Here is a 23,933-nt window from a genome sequence, read left to right on the forward strand (position 1 = left end):
AGAAATTAATGGCTTGCCCAAAGTCATTCGGTGAACCAGGAGAACAGCCCTGAGGAGTCCTCTGGAATATTGACTTCTAATCTTCCTGCAACAACCATTAGATGCATGCTTCGTTTTGAAAAAGGGTCTTAGAAATACCAAATACCCGTGTTATCTAGTTACTTCTCTCTGGTCTTTTTCTTGTGTGTTAGCCTAGATTTTTTTTTGGATCCATTTTGCAGTGACCTGCAGAGAGGAGGGCTCTTCTCACCAGAAAAGAAACTCAGAAAATATCTGGGAGAGTTTAATGATCAGAAGAGTCTTTATGGTTATCCCCATCAAGTTCACTGGAGGCATATGTTTGTTTTTGTGTCCTTAGTCATAAAACTTAAGATGTGAGACCCACTTGTGCAGAAAGAAACAGTCATTCTGGTTCTTAACAATTTCATTTGGAACTTATTTTTAAAAAATCACACAGGAGAAAATGAAAATCTCCACTACTTCTACCAATAATTAATAACTGCTGCTAATATTTGATGTAGAGATATTCAGATTTTTTGGTCATAAAAAGCACATTATTTAAAAATGGGACCATACTGTATAGATAATTTATAACGTAGGGATCTTGCTATTCTCCCAGTTCCAGCCACCCTGACCTTGCTCTACCATACGCTATTCCATTGTTTATGGCATCCCAACACCCTCTCTACCTTTGCCTAGACAACAGCACCTCTTCCTTCTCAGCTCAGCTCCCTAACTGCTCCATCCCTCACCTTCCAAAGGGGTCAGGTCCTGTCTTCTTGTTCTGCCCTTGCATAATATCCTGTAATTTTCCTTCGTGCATAATTTTACACTTAACAGACTATTCTTATAATATCTCTCACTCCCAGTGGACAGCCAGCTCCATGAGGGCGGAGAGTCTGGTCTCCTTCTCTCTACTCTATTGACACCTAGGTACTTAGCATGCCTGGCTCAAATTGTAGCTCAAATAATATCTGCTGAGTGAACAAATAAGTGAAATTTTTCCCACTCATTTTAGTGGCCATGATTTGGATTTGTAACAGAATGGTAAATGTGACTCTTCCTGTTGATTTCATTTTAGTAGAAGCCTTAAAGGCCCAGGGGGCAAAAACATTTAGAAAACACTCTAAAGCAAGGTGCTGGACCATCTGTGCAGAAATTGCCAAAAATAGTAGTTCAAAACTGTTTTGTCTGCATAAGTTGATCCTGCACCTCCAGCCTAAATAAGACATTGTGGGTAAAGAGATTAAAGAGGAAGATTTCTTGGCAGAGAGCTGGTCTTCTCTTTCCCACAGGGACAGACAGGGGAGCTTGCCCTTTACCTTAAAGGAATGGAGCCGCTTTCAAGAGAATCACTCAGAAGGCCAGATGTGCATCTCCTCATGTGCTGAGGACACAGGGACAAGTGCCAGACCCATCCGCTAGGAGTCTAAATGTGGAGGCTGTGGGTTGGCTAGTTGCCCTGACTATGGCAGAGCAAAGAGCCTTAGAATAGAGCTGACAGTCCATGTACAATGGCAACAATGAGTGAGATTTTCCTCTGGCTGGTTAAACATACAGAGGGAACAACTAGAGGTTATCATAGAATAGATGCCACCAAGAGGACCACCCAGAAGTGCAAACGGAACTCAGCATCCATCTGGGGCACTGGGATCTTGGAGGTGGAGGAGGTAAAAGAGTAGCCAGACTGACAAAAGAATTGCAGATGGGGCCGGACACGGTGGCTCACGCCTGTAATCCCAGCACTTTGGGAGGCTGAGGCGGGCAGATCACCTGAGGTCGGGAGTTCAAGACCAGCCTGACCAACATGGAGAAACCCTGTCTCTATTAAAAATACAAAATTAGCTTGGCATGGTGGCGCATGCCTGTAATACCAGCTATTTGGGAGGCTGAACCAGGAGAATTGCTTGAATCTGGGAGGCGGAGGTTGTGGTGAGCCCAGAGTGCACCATTGCACTCCAGCCTGGGCGACAAGAGCAAAACTCTGTCTCAAAAAGAAAAAAAAAAAAAAAAAAAAGAATTGCAGATGGACCTTCTCTAATGGATTCACAAAATCTCCATGACAGAAAGAGCAAAATTTTTATTCATTCACCTGCTACCTATAGGGCATCAACTCCAAGGCAAAACTGAGAACAAACAAAACTTTCCCATTTGTTTATCATGAACAACATTGCAGTGGACATTCTTAGAACTAAATATTTGTGCCTTTGGAAACATGTCTGGAAATGGTATTGTTGAAGACCAAGGATAGGCAATTATTAAAGTTTTTAGTTTTTTAAAAATAAATATTACTTTTGCTCCAAAACGGGTATATCAATGGATATAAATTCACATTCTCATCAGCAGTTTTATTTGTCTTTTTGTAAAGATATTCAGGTAATGACTTTTAGATGTAGGTTTTTATATGATCTCACCATTTCCAGTCCAATCCCTTCTAATTCATTTCTATTCATCAGACAGGCTAATATTTTTAAAAATATAAATCAGATGCCACTTCCTGATTTCATTCTTTTAAATAAAATGCAATCTCCTTGCTGTGGCCTGCAAGGACCAGAACTGCGTTGCCCCTTCCTCCCTGGTTCTAGGACTACATTTCCCAGCACTCCCTCCCTCCCTGAGCTTAAGCCATGCTGTCCTTCCCACAGCCCCTTGAACTCGCCAAGCTTTTTCCTGCAAGCTGGCCTGAACCCTTCAAGCACCCTTCTCTCTAGCTGGAATGCACTTCCCCTGACATTTTCCATAGCTTCTTCTTATCTTTCCTCTCTTAACTTATATATCACCTCCTCAGAGAAGTCTTCCCTGGCCCTCTCTTATCTGAAGTAGAATTCTTTCTTACTCCTTACATAGCACACTGCTGACTCCTTTTCACCACCATGTATAGCTATTTACATTGTTTATTTTCTTGTTTATTTTTTCTCTCTCCTACCGAGACATAAGCTCCATGGGGACTGGAACCTTTTTTATCCGTTTGTGTGTGTGTGTGTGTGTGTGTGTGTGCATGTTTGCGTGTGCCAAAGTTTATTGTGGACAATCTTTGCTCATAGCAGATGCTCAATAAGTATTTGTTGAATGCAGAAAGGAAGGAATGAAGCAATGAGGAACTGAAGCAGAACTGTTCCCAAGCTCTCCTACCTGATTTGATGTCATCTTCCAAGTCATTCTTCTTTAGCTGGCTAAGGACTGGTAGAGGGGAGAGCTGGCTGTAGAACAAACAACCTCCCTTGTTAGTGATAGCCAAGTCATTTTCATGAGCACCGTCTCACCTTTCCAGAGGAAAGGCTGCATATGTTTCTGTGACACTCCCACTGAAAGCAGCAGGCAGCAGGGCCAAAGCTCAAGTTATTTTTGGTAAGGGTATTGGAGAAGTGCCATTCCAGCTTCAGCTTTGGTGCTTTGTGGTACTTGATGAAAACACAGCCTCCTTTGGTGAAGCTTGGGAGCCCATTACCTGCTCTAGAGAAGTGTAGAAGCCTCTGGATTTTTGTACATAATTTCTTGCCCTCAATAGCTAAAGAAGAATAATGACAATGATAAGGATGATAATGGGCTGAATGAAATTCAGAGAGCGGGGCAAAAGTTGTCCATATGTTTAAGCTGGAGTGGATTTCTGTTTTGAATGTGGTAGACAATGACTCTTGGATTAATTTCTGGCTCTGCAATGCTATGGTTAGAAGGTTCTATTTGAATGCATTATAAGTTTTGTATCCTATCAACAAGATGACCACATAAGAAAAGAGTACCACTATGTGTATTGTCTTTTAAACTCACGTTCATTTCATTTTAATTAACACTTTTTTTTTTTTTTGAGACAGAGTCTCGCTCTGTCGCCCAGGCTGGAGTGCAGTGGCGCTATCTCGGCTCACTGCAAGCTCTGCCTCCCAGGTTCACGCCATTTTCCTCCTCAGCCTCCTGAATAGCTGGGACTACAGGCGCCCAGCACCACGCCCGCTAATTTTTTGCATTTTTAGTAGAGATGGGATTTCACCGTGTTAGCCAGGATGGTGTCGATCTCCTAGTGATCGCCCGCCTAGGCCTCCCAAAGCGCTGGGATTACAGGCGTGAGCCACCGCGCCGGCCTAGTGCAAGACTTAAGGAAGCACTCACTCTCAGGGTCATGCCAATGAAGGCTCAGCACTCACGAAGCCCTGACAGCAAGTGCCTCCTTAAATTTTATGCCCTAGGTGCCTCACCCCCACTACCCTAGTCCCAGCCCTGGGGAGTGTGCTCTCTACAAGCCAAATAAGATAGGCTCCAATAAATAAAACAGAACGTAAAATGGCTCATGCCACTTGAAAGTCCAAGAGGTAGTTCTAGCTTCAGGCATGGTTCTATCTCTAGATCTGTCTCTGGTTCTTCTTTCTTCACTTTATTCTCAGCCAGTCTCTCATTTTGGAGGCAAGATGGTCAGGGCTAGCTGAAAGCTGTTAGGAGTAGGGCCCTCATGTTTTCATCTGTTTACTGTAGGGAAGACTTTGATTGGCTCTTCTAGGTCACATGCTCATCCCTGTGCCAATGCCAGGTGAGGCACGCAGAATGCCCAGCCTTGATCAGCTGTCCAGCCTGTGGTGAGAGTGACTGGGGCTGCACTCAGCACTCACGCCACGAGAATCACTCATTGTTGGGACTGGTGTAGCAATTCCCAAACAACAGAGGTGGATCAGTTGGCTGCGGTTGCTTTTACTTCTGTTGGTCCATAGCGTTATGGAAATGCCACAGAAAATTTTGGAATTTTCTCAAGTCATCTGAGCCTTACACATGTATCTGTACCCAATTTAGTTGCGATTCTTTGGGCTTCAAGTCACAGTATGGTGCCTTAGGCTGGACTCCTTTAGTGGTAAGTGACAGAATATCTTAGTTTGGGCTGGTTTAAGCGAAAATGGGAATTTTTTAGCTTGTGCAATTAAATAGTCTAGGAGTGGCACTGGTGAGGTAGAGCGTGCTAATGGACCTGCCCATTATGGATTCATTTTGTTCTTTCAGTAACAGACCATGCCCAGATGAAAACTTCATTCTCCATTTTCCTGTGGAGCCAGCTGTGGCCATGTGACAAAACACTGGTCCACGCGATGCAAGAAAAAGAGATGTTTGACACATCTGGATCATATTTTTATTAGAAGGTTATTTTCCCTCCATGTTTTCTTCCCACTTCCTGGGAAATGAGAGGGTGTTGCTTTGTTTTCATGCTACTAATAAAGACATACCTGAGACTGGATAATTTATAAAGGAAAGAGGTTTAATAGACTCACAGTTCCACATGTCTGGGGAGGCCTCACAGTCATGGCAGAAGACAAAGGAGAAACTAAGTTATGTCTTACATGGCAGCAGGCAAGAGAGCTTGTGTAGGGGAACTCCTGCCTTTACAAAACCATCAGATCTCATGAAACTTACTTGCTACCACAAGAATAGAATGGGGGAAACCACTGCCACGATTCAATTATCTCCACCTTGCCCCACCCTTGACACGTGGGGATTATTATAATTCAAGGTGAGATTTGGGTAGGGACACAGAAAAACTGTATCAGACAATGACTAGACTCAAGGATGAAAAACCGTGTCCTGAGGTGCCAGAGTTGAACCACAAGCTTGGATCCCTGGGCATCCTTATAGGACTAAGTGTCCTACTTGCCCAGGATAAACTGTTACATGAAAAATAAATAAACTTTTATGCATCTTAAATCATTATATTTTGGGGTCTAATTGTTACAAAATCTTCAAATCTACTTAAATAACTTCCTGGGGTGCTGGAAGAGGGGTTCAAATCAGATCGTCGGGATCTGGTTTGCTTCTCTTTATGTCTTGGTTCTGCTCCTTTAGCGTGGCCTTCACTCTTCGATAAGCCCTCCCCTGGGGTTTCACCATTTGTGCCAGCAGCTCCTGGGCCTCTTCCATCCAGATTCCATTTCAGCTGGAGTGTGAGTCTTCCTCCCAGTATTCAGTAAAAGTAACCCAATTCATTATTAATTGGCCAGCTTAGGTCATGTGCCCATATCTGAACCAATCACCAACCACTAGTTGTCCAAAGAAAGGCCATGGACAGGGCTGCACACGTGAGCTGGAAACAGGGGTGAGTACACTCAGTGAAAATGGTGACTACTATGGGAAGAACAAACTCTGGATGCTGAGGAAACAAACAGAAATGCATACTACAAATAAGAAGCTCTAAATATTCAAAAATTGAGTTCAAAACACGGAACGAAATAGTATTTTTTCTTGTCAGACATTTCCAGTAAAACTAAATCATGTGTGATAGTATATTTGTTCGGCAGCATATGGTTAGGCAAGTTGTGCACTGTAGAACTCTATAAGCACCCCTTACATTGCCTACCTCTGTGAATGGTTCTTTTCCATTTCTTTTTCTTTTTTTAATGTTTTTTTTTTTTTTTTTTTTTTTTGAGACAGAGTTTCGATCTTGTTGCCCAGGCTGAAGTGCAATGGTGCAATCTTGGCTCACCTCCACCTCCCAGGTTCAAGTGATTCTCCTGCTTCAGCCTTCCAGGTAGCTGGGATTACAGGCACGCACCACCACACATAGCTAATTTTGTATTTTTGGTAGAAACGGGGTTTCTCCATGTTGGTCAGGCTGGTCTCGAACTCCCAACCTCAGGTGATCCACCCACCTCGGCCTCCCAAAAAATTACAGGGATTACAGGCGTAAGCCACTGTGCCCAGTCTCTTTGCTCTTGCTGCCAGGGCTTGTATTGCACAATTTGGACAAGTGTAAATGTCCTATGAATAGTATATCACAGTCTGTACGTTTTGCATGTATGTCAATTGGATTTCACCAAACAAAACCATATATTGGATTCAGTCTTGCAATTTAAAAAAGAAATCATTTGTTCCTTCACGTCTAGTTTGATATTTTCTGGTTTGATTCTAGTTTCCTCAGCTCCAGTTAAATTATCTATGGATGTTGATTATAGTCAGCATTAACTATCAAGGGATGGATTTCTCGCCTTCAGTTTTTGTCAGTAATTATTTCCGTTATTGTGGGCCCTTCATTTCAAGCTCCTTATGCCTTAATTTCTTCATTTTTTGTTTCTATAATACTGTGGACTTGGTCTATAAATGATGTGTTAGATAAATGCCTTCCATGAACACCTCTATTTTACAGCAACCATGGGCAGCATTTTTTTTTTTAAGTTCCAATCCTTCAAAAGGAGCTCTCCAAATGATTTTACCATTTCATCTCTTTTGGTGAGAGATTTAAAATTAAAACATCATTTTCCATAGAATGGCAACATGAAGACAGATGGTTTACTATGTAGCAAAAATAGTTCTCCCTGCCAGAATATCTCCTTTTTGATTGTCCCCATTTAGTCTCGGTTCTCCTATGACACATTCTTGGAGGTTTCTGTTCTTTAACTGAAACTCATCAAGCCAAGGTGACTAAAAGCTAATGTTCCCAGTGAGAATGGGAAGATTCATATCGTCTTAGAGTTGAAAGACCTGTGGATGTCATCAGGTCAAACAATCCACTACTAACTGAATCCTCTTCTCAATGGCTCTGAGCAGTGATCTCTAGCTTTAGCTTTGTCGCTTCCCAGTGAGTAAGAATTTTTGTCTAATTTCTGATGATTATCTTTGCCTTTGTGAATAGTGCAAATGATTAGAAAGATCTTCCTTGGAAATCAACTAGTAACCTCTCTTTCTGTGAGATCCTCTCTTCAGAAGAGGAATAGGAGAATGTTTAGGAGCAGAGCTGGGCACTACACACACCTCCCTTCAATCCTAGCTCTGATAGTGGCCAGCTGTGAGACCTTAGCAAGTCTGTAAAATGTGGATGCTGGTGCCTAATTCATTATTCCCTTAACAAGATTAGCACAATGCCCAGCACACTGGTGCTCAATGTGTGTTAGCAATTATCAATCAAGTATGCTTTAGGGAGGTAATGCAGTCAGGGGCAGGTGAGTGTGAAATTCAGTCCCCTTCTTCATCTTATTGTATAGGCAGTATCTCATAATGGCAATGAGAGCTCTATTGCCAGGCTAAGGAGGCTTAATTAAATATGGGCCTGGTGTATACATTAACAGGGCACCTACCTCAAAAAGTGCAGGGGAGTTTGAATGAGTCAATCCATGCAAAAGGCTTGGAGAGTGCCTGGCACCTAGGTGGCCATCTTGATAACCACAAGGATTTACTGAGCACTTGCTCTGGGGTCAGGCTTTGGGGACAGACAGTGATGAGGCCAAGTCTCAGCCCCCTGGGAAACACATTCCGGCGGGAAAGAGGCTGAAACAGGGAAACTGTGGCAAATGATACCAGCGAGGGCTAGGTCCCTGACACAAGGAAACCCAAGGAAGCATTTGGCTTAAGCGGTGACAATATCCCTCTCCTCAGATGCCAAGGTCAAGGCGAGCCGCGGCAACACCATCTCCCCAGACACACACGCAAAATCGGCCCTTCTCGGGGAAAGGGCAGGGGCTGAAGGGGGAGGCGGGGTGGGCGGCGGCTGGAAAAAAGTGAAATTTCCTCTCCTCCTAAAATAAGTCATTGGAGCGAGGAGAGCGAGCGCTATCTCAGTAGGCTGTGGGCGAGGTGCGGGGGTGGCGGGGGCACGCTCCGGGTCCGCCAGGAGGGGAGGGATCGGAAGGGGAAGCGGGGAGGGAAAGGTGGGTGGGAGGCGCGGGGAGCGTTCCAGGGCGGCTGCTCACGGGTGGCCGCAGCCCAGTGCTGGGACTCGCGCGGCTCCTCCTCTTAGCCCCCCACCCCTTCCTCCTCTTTCCTCCTCCTCCTTCCTCCTCCTCCTCCTCCTTCTTCTCCTCCTTCTCGGCCGGGAGGAGGCAGGGCTGGATCCCTCAGCCGCCGCCGCTCCTCCTCCTGGCAGGCCGGCCGCGGAGTCAGCTGACGCCGGCGCTCCAGCCTCGCCTCCCCGCGCCGCGCTCTGCGCTCCCCGAAAGTGGCTGCAAGCCGGCCGCCCACTGTCAGGGTTGGGGGGACAGAGAAAGTGATGTGCGCCTTCTAAAGCCTCGCCCAGCGCCGCCGAAGCAGCTTCACCTCTCCAACTTTCTCCCACCGACTGCTTGTCTTGACCCTGCCCTCCACCCTCCCCAGAGCCACTTCGGGTGCGCGCTCTTGGGTAAAGGGGGGGTCACCGGCTGTCTGGGATGGCTTCCAATTTTAATGACATAGTGAAGCAAGGGTACGTGAGGATCCGGAGCAGACGCCTCGGGGTGAGTATCGATCCTCTCCGTGTTGCTGTTCGCCGGTTCGATTGTCTCTCTCTTGAGCCAGCATCCCTGGAGGGTGGACGGAGAGTCCCCGGCCGCGCGCCGGAGAATTGCGCGGTGGCTTTCTCAGCCGAAACCCGCGTCTCCGGGGCTGTCACTGTAAGGCCAGCGTCTAGGTATGTAATGGATCTATCTTTATCTCTTGGATGACTTGGCTTTCTGATGGTGGCCGCGTGTTGGGCTTCAGTAGCCCCTGGAGCCCATCTACTCGAAATAAATATTTCTCGGTAGCCATGGAAGTTGGAGCTGAGAAGCCCGGGCGGGGGTGCCTGCCGGATGCCCCCGGTTCCCCTCTTTTCCCACTCGCCGCCAACTTAACTTTTCCGGGGGATGGATCGGCTGGTTGAGAAAGAGGACACGCATACTCGGTGTGAACGAGGTCACGAACCCTCTGACCCCAGGGAGAGATTTCTGCCAAGCGTAAGGTGTCTTTGGATCCCCCCACCTCTGTCCCAGGTGTCGTGTCAAAGGCGGTGCGGGCTGGCCTCTGGTCGGGGCCAACTTGGGTAGATACTTGAATCTGGATTTTCCGTGGTTCGAAGCCGGGGTGGTGGATTTCTGTTGCTGGAATACACCCTGGAGGTCCACGGAAGGGTTATTTACGTGGAACCTGATACCTGGCATAGCGCAAGTGCTCCCTACATATGTCCTGAAAGGAAGAATGAATGAATCTTAGGGCACTTGGGACAGATGTTGACACAGGCTAGCTCCTTCCTTAAAACTCCCTCTCTTTCGCCCCTTTCTCTCTTGGCTCTTCGCTGGAGGAGGCTTCAAAAGAGAACCTACCCTTCCTCTCCTTGGGACTGAATGATGGTGGAAGAATTCTTGAGGGAGAGGGAAGATACTGGAACGATTTTTTTATTTCCTAAAAATTTCAAACTAGGTCCCTCATTTCTCTTTGCCTCCTATCAAGTGTTGTCGCTGTTTTAGTTGATCCTGTGCGTTTGGACATAAGGGGTGAAAAGTGGGGGTGGAGAGGTGGCGGGGGCGGGGGGAGAAAATATCCTTTGGTGTAATGCCTGAAATAAGTATAATGTCAGTAATCGTGTGGAATGCCGCCATTGATAATGAGTGGTAAATTGAATAGCTTTCTTTAGAAATATGTGTCATTTGGCATCTTTCTCTTACTTGGTCTTTGGACTGTTTTAATGTGCCAGATACTTTTACTGAAAACTGAAAAGAAATTTCACAGTAGTAAACTCAGCTAGGGAGGGAAGCCCTGTGGGGAGGAACATCCGCAATTATTATAAAACTCTTGCCTAATTCGTTTTGGTCTTTTTCTTTTCTTTTTCTCCCCTGCTGGTGACCATGTTTTAGCGATTATGTCCTGTGTTATTGTGAATATATACATATGTAATTAGGGAGAAATGTAACAGAATTCACCATTTCCATCAGCTCTGCCAAAGTTTCCTTGGTTTTCTTTTCTGCTATGCAAATATTCTCATCTTCAAGAGCACCCATTGTTGGGGGTACTTTACTGAGTGACTCCCATGTAAGGGGCAAACAATAATGGGAACTTTCTATTTTTGGTATGCTTATAGGCTGGCCAAGTGTTACAATTTTAAGGGGAGTTAAGTTAAAAAAAAAAAAAACCCAGCATTCTAATTTAGCTTTACTCCATCATGTCAATGGAAGGAATTGGTATGAGACATCCATTCTGTGTTAGGGAGCATTCCAATGGGAAGAGGACATGCATTATTAATGCACAAAATATGAATTATTCATAAGGATCAGAGTTTATGCCAAATTGTGACACATGGTAATTTATTTGAAAAACTGGTTACCATCACTTTCTTGTTTGTGGTAACTGAGATTATTTTTTCTAGATTATTACAATTGACACAACATAGCCCTATGTGTGTGCCAACATTTATGGACAGATATTTGAAGCAGAAGGAACAGAAATATTTAGTTTGTATTTGTTTTATGTTTTACAGCATTTTGGATGCTAATGAGCAGTATACTTTCTCAAGATTTATTCTTTTTGTCTGTGTTCACGTTCAGACTTCAGAATATCTATTGAATTATGGTTATTGCTCATGGAGAGAAAAGGTCAAAAATATGATCAAGTAAATCTGGTCTTATTTGTTAGCATTGGTTTTCTCACCAGTTAATTTTTAAAATATTCTTATGGTATGATTTACAAAAGAGGCTGATTACATAGTTGCCAGAACACAGTGCAAACCAAAGTTTTAATGGAGGCTGCAAATATTGGTGAAGGATGCTGTACGGAATTGGCATGGGGACCCTATGTCCACAGTAAGGAATGTTAGCGGTATTAATCTAGGCTACATATAGTCTAGAACAGCATGCGACATGTATCTTCTAGGAATATGTGCCAGTCTCAAAGAGAGGTAGGGCATTTATTTTGTCTAGCACAGAGTAGACACTTGGTAAGTTCATGTTGAAATATGTGCTGAACTATATAGTGCATGGATGGTCTTGCCATTTATAACCTTTAGGAACTAATACAACAGCATTTATTAATGGAATCCAGACCATGTTTGGGACGGTTTATAATTAAATACAAAAACATTTCATGGTAAGCAGCTGTTCCTGGTGCCAAGGAATAAATGCTTCTTCAGATTTGGAGAAAGAGGAGAAGGGAACGCATTCTGCTTCTATTGCTTGTTGACCTTTGACCTTTCTTGGCCTCAGTTTCCTAGTCTGTACAATGAACACTATTTAATGTTCTTGGGAGCATTAAAGAAGATATTTGTGAAAATGCAATGAAAGTCTAGAACATTGATTCTGCTTGTATCATTTTCTTTAATCAAAGATGAGTTAGGATTGGTAGACGGATATAGGAATTATCTATTTCCTTCTCTTTCTATGTAGAAGTGTACAAAGGCATAAATGTTTATGCAGCTCCAGATTTTTTCAATGGATGAAACTTTTACAAATTATATACATATATGTGTATGTGTGTGTATTTTTATACATAGGAATAAATATATACATACAACCTATGTACATATTGTATAATATATAATATACGTATATTTATATATGTGATTTTTTAACAGGACAGGAAACATTCTAAAAACATTCCCATTCAAATGGGTCACAGATAAGTGGTCACCTTCATTTGAAATCCTAAAGAGTTTAAATGATTAAGCAATCAAATATGTATAGATTTATTCTCTTCTTTAGACATCAAAAAGCTTAATGAAATATAATTCATTTAACTCAAAAGTTTCAGTATCTTCACATCTGTATTCCCCAGCTTAATCCCCATTGTTTCCTGGAGGTCTCCAGCTGTGCCCTGGGTACTGAATTTGTTCAGGAATGTCGACGTTACTATTTGAGGGGCTGGGGGAAGGAGGGGAGCAGCTGTCCATAATTATTTGAGTAATCGATTAAATGCACTAAAAATTTCTTTTTAGGGGAGAGGCAAATCAGGCAATTTGTACAACATTAACCTGCTGAATGTGTGACTTAGATAGCATCATATAACAATTCTCACTTCGTTTCTTTCCTTGCAATGGAGATGATTTTCCAATCAATCATTGTCATGGCTTGCCCACAGTGCAAGTTTCAGAACGGAAACTCGGGTTTATTTATCTACGCACAATCCCTCAGTTACTTGCCTTTAAGTGACATTTCTGTGCTCTTGTCTACCAAGGACTTAGCAGCTTGGACCTCTTTTCTGACCTCCACTCATGTAAATTCTCCTGTCTATCCCACATCTCCACTTGGATGACTCACAGACCTGCTGCTCCTAGAGTCCTCTCCATCTTAGCCACTAGAGGTCCCAGCATTTTGGTTGCGAAGGTAAAAATCACAAGCGAACCTTGGTGTCATTTCACTCTTCTCCCCTCATCTCCCACCCCTACAGGCAATCCATCAGGAGATCTTGTGGGCTGTATCTTTGAAATATATCTAGAATCCGGCTGTCACCTCACGCTATCCACTGCTACGACCCTGGTCCGAACCCTCCTCATCTCCTCCCTGTAACATTGCAACAGTCTTCTCATTTGACTTCCTGCCTACACTCTTGCTCCCGCTAGTGCCTTCTCAATACAGTAAAGTGTTCCTTTGGAAATGTAAGAAAGGTCATGTCACCTGGCTGCTGAAGCTGTCAGAGGCGTGTGAACCAGAGCAACTCCATCTTGAATAGGAGCTGGGTAAAACAAGACTGAAACCTACTGGGCTACATTCCCAGACAGTTAAGGCATTCTAAGTCACAGGATGAGATAGGAGGTCGGCACAAGATACAGGTCATAAAGACCTTGCTGATAAAACAGTTTACAGTAAAGAAGCCAGCCAAAACCCACCAAAACCAAGATGGCCATGAGAGTGACCTCTGGTTTTCCTCACTGCTACGTGGCGCTACCCCCACCAGTGCTATGACAGTTTACAGATGCCATGGCAACGTCAGGAAGTTACCCTTGGTCTGAAAAGGGGAGGCATGAATAATCCATCCCTTGTTTAGCATATCATCAAGAAATAACCATAAAAATGGGCAACCAGCAGCCCTCGGGGCTGCTCCGTCTATGGAGTAGCCATTCTTTATGCCTTTACTTTCCTAATAAACTTGCTTTCACTTTACAGACTTGCCCTGAATTCTTTGCTGTGAGAGATCCAAGAACCCTCTCTTGGGGTCTGGATGAGAACCCCTGTCTGGTAACAAAACCATTGGTGACTTTCCATATACTGCAGAGAAGTCTTACAATGGGCCATGAGGCCCTATGCTGCCCCAGAACCCTCTCGTTCACTGTTTTCTCTGCTTGGAATATGCTGTTTCCCCAGTTACCTCCTCCTGGCTTGCTCTCTCACCTCCTTCAGCCTTTTCTCAGCTCCTACCCTCTCAATGAGGCCTTTAAGGCCTCCATCTATCTATCTATCTATCTATCAATCATCTATCATCTATCTATCTATCATCTATCTATCATCTATCATCTATCTATCTATCATCTATCATCTATCTATCATCTATCATCTATCTATCTATCATCTATCTATCATCTATCTATCATCTGTCTATCATCTATCTATCATCTATCTATCTATCATCTACCATCTATCTATCTATCATCTATCTATCTATCATGTATCTATCATCTATCTATCTATCTATCTATCTATCTATCTATCTATCTATCTATCTATATTTTTTTGGCGGAGTCTTGCTCTTTTTTCCAGGCTGGAGTGTAGTGGCGTGATCTCAGCTCACTGCAGCCTCTGCCTCCTGGGTTCAAGCAATTCTCCTGTCTCAGCCTCCTAAGTAGCTGGGATTACAGGCATGCACCACCATACCCAGCTAATTTTTATATTTTTAATAGAGACAGGGTTTCACCATGTTGGCCAGGCTGGTGTCGAACTCCTGACCTTGAGATCCACAAGCCTCGGCCTCCTAAAAGTGCTGGGATTACAGGCGTGAGCCACCGTGCCCGGCCTCAGACCACTCTATTTTATTTCTTCTCCCTCTCCTTTCCTTCTTTCCCTGCCCCTTTTTCTCCCTAGACTTATTACCCTCTCCTTCATTTATCTTTGTATTGCCTATGTACTGCCAAGGACATGTGAAGCTACATGAGGGCTGGGACTTGTTTCTCTCTTCTTTAATCATAGCTGTCCCCCAGTGCCTAGTGCAGGGCCCAGCACAGAGTGGGCATTTGATGAAGATTTGTGGAATAAATTAATGACCCCATCACTGTGTTGTGGCTTAAGAGCATAGGCTCTGACATGTGACTGCGTTAAAATCCCAACTCACTGGCTGGTTATGTGACTTCTGGTGAGTTATTTAATATTTATAAGCCTCCATCTTCTGTAAAAATATGGAGACTCTTACTACTCACCTAATAGATGATGATCATAAAGAGCTTAACACAGTGCTTGACACAGTAAAAACCCAATTAATGTTTATTAGGGCTCTCACTCCTACTTCCAGTGTGGTTAGAGACAATGACACTTAACTGGTTATTATTTCACTGTTTCTACTGCAATTGTTCATATCCTCAAAGAACTTGTTTTTTAGTTAGGAAAACAAACTTAGTACAAGTACCAAATGTTGCTTGGCATTGATGGTTGATACAGAAGGAATTTATAAGATTTCGCCTTTATAAGATTTTTTATGATTCTACACAAATGGTAGAGATATAAAATAAGGAGAAATGCCTCTTCATGTAACTCCAATTCGAGTGAATTCACTGGACTAGGAGGTATTTTTGTTAACTTGGGGACTGTTTTCTTTTGTGGTAGAGAAGAAATTTTAAAAATTGGTCAGCTCACGGCCAGGTTTTAAAAATAAACATTTTCTAATTCTTTCATTTTATAGTTTCACCTGACCTGGTATGCCACAAACGCTTTCATGTTTCATTTGAGGATTTTAGATTTAGATGTTCAGGAATCCATGCATTTTTTATGGTACCATGACAAAGTCATAATCGTAGTATGAAAATTATACAGATAGAATAAACTCATATACTCCTTTTTTTTCCTTTTGAGATGGAGTCTCGCTCTGCTGCCTAGGCTGGAGTGTCCTGGTGTGATCTCGGCTCACTTGCAGCCTCCATCTCCTGGGTTCAATCAATTCTCCTGCCTCAGCCTCTTGAGTAGCTGGGACTACAGGCACATGTCACCACAGTTGGCTAATTTTGGTATTTTTAGTAGAGACAGGGTTTCACCATGTTGGCCAGGCTGGCCTTGTATGCCTGACTTCTGGTGATCCACCCGTTTCAGCCTCCCAAAGTGCTGGGATTACAGGCGTGAGCCACCGTGCCCGGCCTCATCATATGCTATTGTTATTTAAGTATATGTATGCACATGCACATATATGCACATATGAACTCATGCAACTATTCAGTAAGATATGTGAAGTTTAGTTACTCTTTAAGAACAAGAGGCTTTGGGATAACTTTACCAGTAGGGAAATTTATGGCCAGATAGACTGCATATATATACATGCATCAGCTGGGACGACTCAGTTATTTTGGCTTCATTTGAATCAGCTTCATTGACATGGTTTCCATGTCAGAAGGGCTTTCCAGCTGGTATTTCAGTCGTCTTCATCTGATTGTCCATGTGGATGAGACGATTAATTGTGCATAAAGTCAGCCTTTACATCATCATCCCCAAAACTGATTTAAGCAGAGTGGCCAATTTAGTGACTTTGTATATAGACATAAACCAAATTAGTGATATGATTGTCCCCACATCTGCCAATGTATTTTTGAAATCATATTTATTAGAAGACTAGAAATATTTATTTTTAAAGCAGCTTTGTAATTTTTGTGGGGAATCGTTTGGTATTTTAAGAACTTAGTTTTCATTGGAATATATTTTCTTCCATTTGTTTTATCATTCCTCAAATATTTCTTGAGTACCTATTAGTGTTAACCACCTTAAATAAGGCAGATACAATCACCATCCTCAAGGAGTTGACAATTTAATTTTTGATTTGTATTATTAACAAGAGATTAATGTATTCACTATAGTTAAAGAGGAATTAATCTGAGTAACAGGTCAAATATTGAAGTGAAAAGATGCCTGAGGATATTTTTCTATTCTATTTTTGTGAAATGAGGAAGGGCAAATTTGATTTTTCTCTTACTCTAGGAATTTGATCCTAGTAGGGTGGAAATTAAACCTTTGGAGATTCTAAGCCTTGAAGAGATTATGGTGCGACCCCCCCGTTCCTGTGAAATTCAAAATAAAATTGTGAGTTTAGAAATGCCACATGATATATGTGAATGTTTAAATTAAAATAGCTTCTTTCTAGAATGCAGATGGCTACATTTTGGATAAGTATTTGGAAGCTGATTTTTGCAGAGCAGTTGTGGGGGCTGCCTTTATTTCACTAGTGTTCTCACCCTCTGTTTATGCCCTGGATCCCAGAGAACAAAATTGTTAACTGGTTGTCTTGTGTTCTTAAGCCGAGTTGTTAACTAGGCTCCAGTGAGAGGATGCAGGTGACTTTTCTGAGACAATGCTTTGCAGCTTGTATGAGATTCTTAGAGAAGTCTGGTCCTCCCTGCCCCAGCCTCTCCCACTTTCCACCTGCTATGCCTTCTTAAAGATTAAGATCAGGTTGGGTGTGGTGGCTCACGTCTGTAATCCCAGCACTTTGGGAGGCCGAGGCGGGTGGATCACCCGAGGTCAGGAGTTCTAGACCAGCCTGGCCAACATGGTGAAACCCTGTCTCTACTAAAAATACAAAAATTAGCTGGGCATGGTGGCAGGTGCCTGTAATCCCAGCTACTCAGGGGGCCGAGGCAGGAGAATCCCTTGAACCCAGGAGGTGGAGGTTGCATTGAGCCGAGATTGCGCCACTGCACTCCAGCCTGGGGAAAAAGAGCAAGACTTCATCTCAAAAAAAAAAAAGTTAAGATCAATATTTCATTATTTTAATTGAAGTTTTATTTTTAGATAATTGTTATGTTCATATGTAGTTGTAAGAAATAATATGGAGAGATATTCCATGCCCTTTAACCACTTTCCCCCCAATGGTAACATCTTTCAAATTTGTAGGACAATATAACAACCAATATATTGACAATGATACAATTAAGATATAGAACATTTCATCCCCTGGAGGATCCTTCACAGTCTTCTTATATAGCTGCCCCTCCTGCCCCTGTCCTCCATATCCCTAATCCCCTGACAACCACTAATCTGTTTTCCTTTTGTCATTTTGTCATTTCAAGAATATTATGTAAATGGAGTCCAGGCTTGGTGGCTTGTTCCTGTCATCCCAGGACTTTGGGAGGCCAAGGCAGAAGGGCCACTTGAGCCCAGAAGTTTGAGACTAGTCTCAGGCAACATAGTGAGACTGTCTCTACAAAAAATAAAAATAGAAAATTAGCCAGGTGTGGTGGTACACGCCTGTAGTGCTGGTTATTTGAGAGGTTGAAGTGGGATGATCACTTGACCCTGGGAGGTTGAGGCTGCAGTGAACTCTGATCATACTACTATACTTCAGCCTGAACGACAGAGCAAGATGAGACTCTGTCTCAGAATTTTTTAAAAAGAATATTATGTAGGCTGGGCATGATGGCTCACGCCTGTAATCCCAGCACTTTGGGAGGCCGAGGCGGGCAGATCACAAGGTCGGGAGTTGGTGACCAGCCTGATCAACATGGTGAAACACTGTCTCTACTAAAAATACAAAAATTAGTCGGGCATGGTGGAGAGCTACTCAGGAGGCTGAGGCAGGAGAATCACTTGAACCCGGATGGCGGAGGTTGCAGTGAGCGGCGGAGGTTGCAGTGAGCGGCGGAGGTTGCAGTGAGCTGAGATCGTGCCATTGCACTCCAGCCTGGGTGACAAGAGTAAGACTCCGTCTCAAAAAAAAAAAAAAAAAGAATGTAATGTAAAAGAACCATACAGTATGTAATGTTTGGGGATTGGCTTTTTTAAAACTCAATATAATCCCCTGAGATTCGTTCAGGTTGTTGTGTGTATAAGTTTGTTCTTTTTTCTTGCTGAGTAGTGTACCATGGTGTGTATGTACAATAGGTACCGTAGTTTGTTTAGACACTCACCTGTCGAAGGACATGGGTTGTTTCTGGTTTTTGGCTATCATGAATGAAGCTGATATACTCATATAAGCATTTGTGTAGAGGTTTTCACGTGAACATACGTTTTCGTGCCTCTAGGCAAATGTCCAGGAGTGCAATTGCTGGGTTGTAGAGTAGTTGTGTCTAGTTTTTAAAGAAACTGCTGAACCGTTTTCTCACAGTTGTACCATTTTACATTCACATTAGCAATGTGTGAGTGAATCGGTTTTTCTGCATCTTTGCCAGCATTTGGTGTCATCACTGTGTTTTATCTTAGCCATTCTTCTAGATGTGTCGTGGTATCTTATTGTGGTTTTAATTTGCATTTTTGTAAAGGGTAGCAATGTTGAGCATCTTTTCATGTTCCTGTTTGCCGTCCATGTCAGTAAAATGCCTGGATTGCTTATTTTTTAACGGTTGAGTTTTGAAAGTTCTTCATATATTCTAGATATCAATCCCTTTTAGATAAGTGGTTTGCAAGTATCTTCTTTCAGTCTTGTCTTGTCAGCCTAATATCCTGAAGATGTTTCAATTTTTTTTGTAAGTTTTATAGTTTTATCTTTTATATTTAAGTCCATCACCCATTTTGAGTAATTTTTGTATAAGGTGTGCATTTCAGGTCAAGGTTATGCCTATGGATGTACAGTTACTCCAGCACTTTTTTGAAAAGGTTGTCTTTTCTTCATTGAGCATTTTCATGTCTTCGCCTGGGTCCTCTATTCTGTTCCATTGTTCTATATGCCTTATATATGTACAGTGATATGTCTATATATGTCTATATATGTCTGTATTTGTATATATAGACATATATGTCTATATATGTCTGTATTTGTAACTATACAATAAGTCTTGAAATAGGGCACACTGATCCCTCTCAGTTTATTCTTTTTCAAAATTGTTTTAGCTATTCTAGTTCCTTTACCTTTTAATATAAATTTTAAAATAATGTCTATAACTACTAGAAATCTTTCTGGGATACTTTCTCATTTTACACACACACACATGCACACACACACACACACGATTTAATTGGTGCATTAGTTTATTTTTGTGGTGGAAATAGCAGAAGTTTGAGACTCACACTTTAGTTTGGGTCTCAGCTTGGCCGCTTATTGGCTCTGTAGCCTTAGGGAAAATTGCTTACTCTTTCTGATCTTTACCTTACTTATATATGAAAAATGAGGATAATATACGAAAGATGAATATACCAGGCTCTTAATCCTGTGCCTGACTCATAGTAGAAACTCAGTGAGTCATACTATTGATTTTTATTTTTTATTGGTAAGAGGTTGAAATGATATTTTTAGTTTATTGTCTGTGAGAACCATGGCCTTGGTGGAAATTAATTCACTCATATTCCAGCGGAAGAGTCATGTTTTTGATAATAAAAAAAAAGGTTGCATTCTATCTTCCTCTTGCTGTTGTCTTCTATGATATATTTTTGTAATATTGGGTTTATTTAGGAGCCTCCAGTGAAATCCTATCTTAGAACATAAAGACTTGAATATATTAGCCAAAATGGCAGAACTTTGATTATAAGACTGGCCACAGTATTTTTGCCTATTAACTCTAACAGCTTTGTCCAAATGTGAGATTTATATATCTGGAGAGATAATTTTAGGGTAGTAAACAGCATTCAATCATAAAATGAGAAAAAGTATTATTTATTGTCCAACATAACTCAAAGAGTTGGTGACTACTAGGTCTTTTCCTAGAGAGGACCATCCTGACTTAGGTGCAGAGTGTTCAGCTCACAGCGTCATGTTTCATTGCACTGATTAACTTTATATTATGTTAAATTTGACATTTTCTCTCAAGTGATACTGGTTTCCAATTTCAGATAAGAATGTGTGCTTCCTCTTTAAATAAAGCTTATTTATTTAAAAAAGCAAAGTAACTTAATTAATGTTAACTTACAGTGCAGGTATTATATGACCATGCAGTGACAAAAATTTTGGAGGTAGGTGGTGGTACACAGACGCAGTGCAAATCCAAAGGGTGCAGGACTGAAGTGTGGGAAACTGCAGACCAGTGTACTTATTTTTTAAAATAGGTTTTCTAAAATTTCTTTACTTATAGCCGCCAAATGTCATCATTTTATATAAATAACTTAAAAATTAGGTGCTTAGGGAAAAAACTCCCATGTACCCAATACCATCCTCTTACAAGACTTTCCTCTGATATCACCATGTATATGTCACTTCTCACCCCCCAAAAACTGTACAACCTTATTTTGGTTTTGCCCAAGCCCTTATTTTTTCTTCCCTTCATTCGGATGTACAATGGATACTGCTGTGATTAACAGAAAGAGAAACTAGCAAGTCTCGTCAATGGACTAACTCTTTTATTTAATACAAGTTTCCATGTTTAGAAGAGCAATTCAACTCTTAGAATTCATTTTATTATCTTAACACCATACATTCATTCAATAAAAGAAATTTATTTTCCAAACTTTTAAGAAATCATACTTCTTTGAATCCCCTAGCAAAATTGACTCTTTATACTAATTTCTCAGTTTCCAGGTTTCTGTCTACCAAAGTGCAGATATGTTGGCTAATCTGTGTAAGAGCCACTTTTTGAGTCTGGGTTCCATTCCACCAACAGTGGCCTCAAATCTGGAAGTTATCACGAACGTAGTCTAGTCTTCAGCATCCATTAATTCAGTGTGGTGTAAAGTGAGATTGGATAGCAACCCTTCCCAGAGAGTTTGTCCTCTTGGAGAAGTCTTCACTGGTTTGAATCCATCTTCTCCATTAACTGGTTGCTCTTAACGTCTGATTTTCTCCTGGCTGGCTGTCTCTTGGCATCCATATTCCTTCCTCAGAATGACTTGCCTTGACTACAACATTTAAGTTGACTCCTCACATCCTTCTAGAACATCACGTAATTTAAATCCATGTATAGAACTTAACAATTTTTCTTTATTTTGTGCCATTTATTTCTCTTCTCTTTCTGTTTCTCTGTTTCTATATACATTTTTTTCTTGTTTGTTTTTCTTCTGTAAGAGAGGGAATGAACAAGATAGCCAAGTCCCTGGCCTCATAGAACTTACTCTAAGAGACATAAGTTTTATCTTACATATATTATTTGCTTATGTATTTTTCCTTCCCTCCTTCCTTCTTTCCTTCCTTCCCTCCCTCCCTTCCATATATTATTTGCTTATGTGCTTTTCCTCCCTCCCTCCCTCTTTCCCTACCCCTCCCCTCCCTCCCCTCGTCCCTCCCTCCCTTCCTACCTTCCTTCCTTCCTTCCTTTTATTATTAAATATGTGCATGAAGTAGGTGTTATTTTATGCCCATTTTACAAATTATTTACATCTGACAGTAAGTTCTCTGAGGCCAGGGACTTTGGCTATCTTGTTCACTGCTGTATCCCCAGGTCGTAGTCCTTAGTAAATTCTCAATATTTGTTGATTGAATGGATGAATGGTTTTACTTCCTGTCAGAAGAATGGAATGGTGTATTCAGATGTAAGAAGACAAATAGAAAACTGTGCCTATATCCCATCTCATTTTGCAGTAGATTCTCTTCTGAACAGTAGAACATTTTAGAATTTCTCATAGTTGTTTATATATAATCTGCAAATTCATCATCAGGAAATACAGCAGTTAATATCAAAGGTTTGGATTTACTCCATTAAAATTAAATTTTATTTGAATTCTTTTGGAGTAGGTAATATGTACCCTTGGTACAAAATTCGAGGATACAAAGTTTATACACCAAAGAGTAGAGTTTCCTTTCATCTCCATTTCCTAGAATCATCTCGTTCCCTTTTTCAGAAGCAACCACTGTGAATAGTCTCTTCCAGAATAGTCTATATATAAGTAGTTTTGTGTGTGTGTGGGCTTGTGTGCATGTGTGTGTCTGTATGTGCGTTTGCATGCAATTTATACTTATATAGTCTTCTGAGCCATGGATTTCTTATTTAGTGATATATCATAGTTTTGAATAATTCGATAGGATTCCCCTGTATGGATATATCTTATATATTTTATTTGATTATTTATTTATTCTTCTTTCCTTCCTTCCTTTTTTTTGTTAAATATGTGCATAAAGTAGGTGTTATTTTATGCCCATTTTACAAATTATGAAACTGAGATACTAAGAGGTTCAGTTTTTGGCCAGCTCACACAGCCTTATGTGTAAGAACCTGGGTTCGAATCCAACGTCTATCTCTTTCATGGAACATTGGGGTAAATCCATTTTTTTTCCTCTGTTACAAACAGTGCTATAGACCACCCCTCATCATACCCATTGGAGAGCCTGAAGGTGAATAAATTCTTAGAAGTGGGACTTATTGTTCCAAGGGTATTCACATGTAGAATTTCATGAAAGTTGCTTTGGAGGATGTTCTCCAGCAGTGGACAAGAAAGCCCATTTCCTCTCATTTTGTCACATTAGGCCTGAGAGCCTTTTCAACGTTTTGCTAGTCTACGAGGTGAGAAATGGACTCATTTGTGTATAGATTTCCCTAACTTGTGGCTGAGTTTCAAGGCATTTTATAATTAGAATCTTTTCAGTTGTGCAGGCTTTTTTCTTTTAAGAGTAATATTTACTCAACTCAAAAAGTAGTTATTTAGTGAGCATTTACAAACATATAAATCATAATTTACTGTCTTAAAACACACCTTCCTGGGAAATGGCTCAATGGAAATCTTTTACCTAAAAGATAGGATAAATTATATGTTAACTGTTACTGTATTTTTTCTCTAAAAATTAAATTATGAATTTGCACTTTTGATAAATATTATGTTGAATGAAATGATACATATATACATATACATACGTATATACATACATATATTTTAAATTTAATCAGATAAATACATATTCATTAATACAGCTCAGTCTATATTCTTGGTCAATCTTATAAAATGCTTCAAGTGTGTCTAGCCATGTGGCAGGAGTGGGAGGGTAGGGGATGATGTGAATCTTTGTACTGAGTGCTAGATATAATTTCTGAATGTTGCATTTATGTTGTTCCTGGGTATCTGGTATCTTGAGCCTCTTTTTTCCTTTCTCTCTTATTTTTATTTTTTGAGACGGAGTCTTGCTGTGTCACCAGGCTGGAGTGCAGTGGCACGATATTGGCTCATGGCAACCTCCGCCTCCCGTGTTCAAGCAATTCTCCTGCCTCAGCCTCCCGAGTAAGTAGCTGGGACTACAGGCGCATGCCACCACGCCCAGCTAATTTTTGTATTTTTAGTAGA

The 23,933-nt window shown here is 41.5% G+C and overlaps 1 protein-coding gene across 4 annotated transcripts in view; it reads left to right on the forward strand.

Annotated features, from left to right (window-relative positions):
- Window positions 1–8,750: 8,750 nt before the first annotated feature.
- DOK5 (docking protein 5) overlaps window positions 8,751–23,933 on the forward strand; it is a 175,577-nt gene continuing 160,394 nt past the window's right edge. For 2 of the 4 annotated variants that reach the window (NM_018431.5, NM_001294161.2), the window contains exon 1: window positions 8,751–9,170. In NM_018431.5, the coding sequence (NP_060901.2) occupies window positions 9,105–9,170 (66 nt within the window). In that variant the 5' untranslated portion in view covers window positions 8,751–9,104. Of the gene's footprint in view, window positions 9,171–9,223; window positions 9,344–23,933 lie in introns of those variants that run through there. The other 2 variants (NM_177959.3, XM_011528904.2) reach the window with 2 other exon arrangements.

This window comes from Homo sapiens, chromosome 20, assembly GCF_000001405.40.
Source record: "Homo sapiens chromosome 20, GRCh38.p14 Primary Assembly".
NCBI lineage: Eukaryota > Metazoa > Chordata > Mammalia > Primates > Hominidae > Homo > Homo sapiens.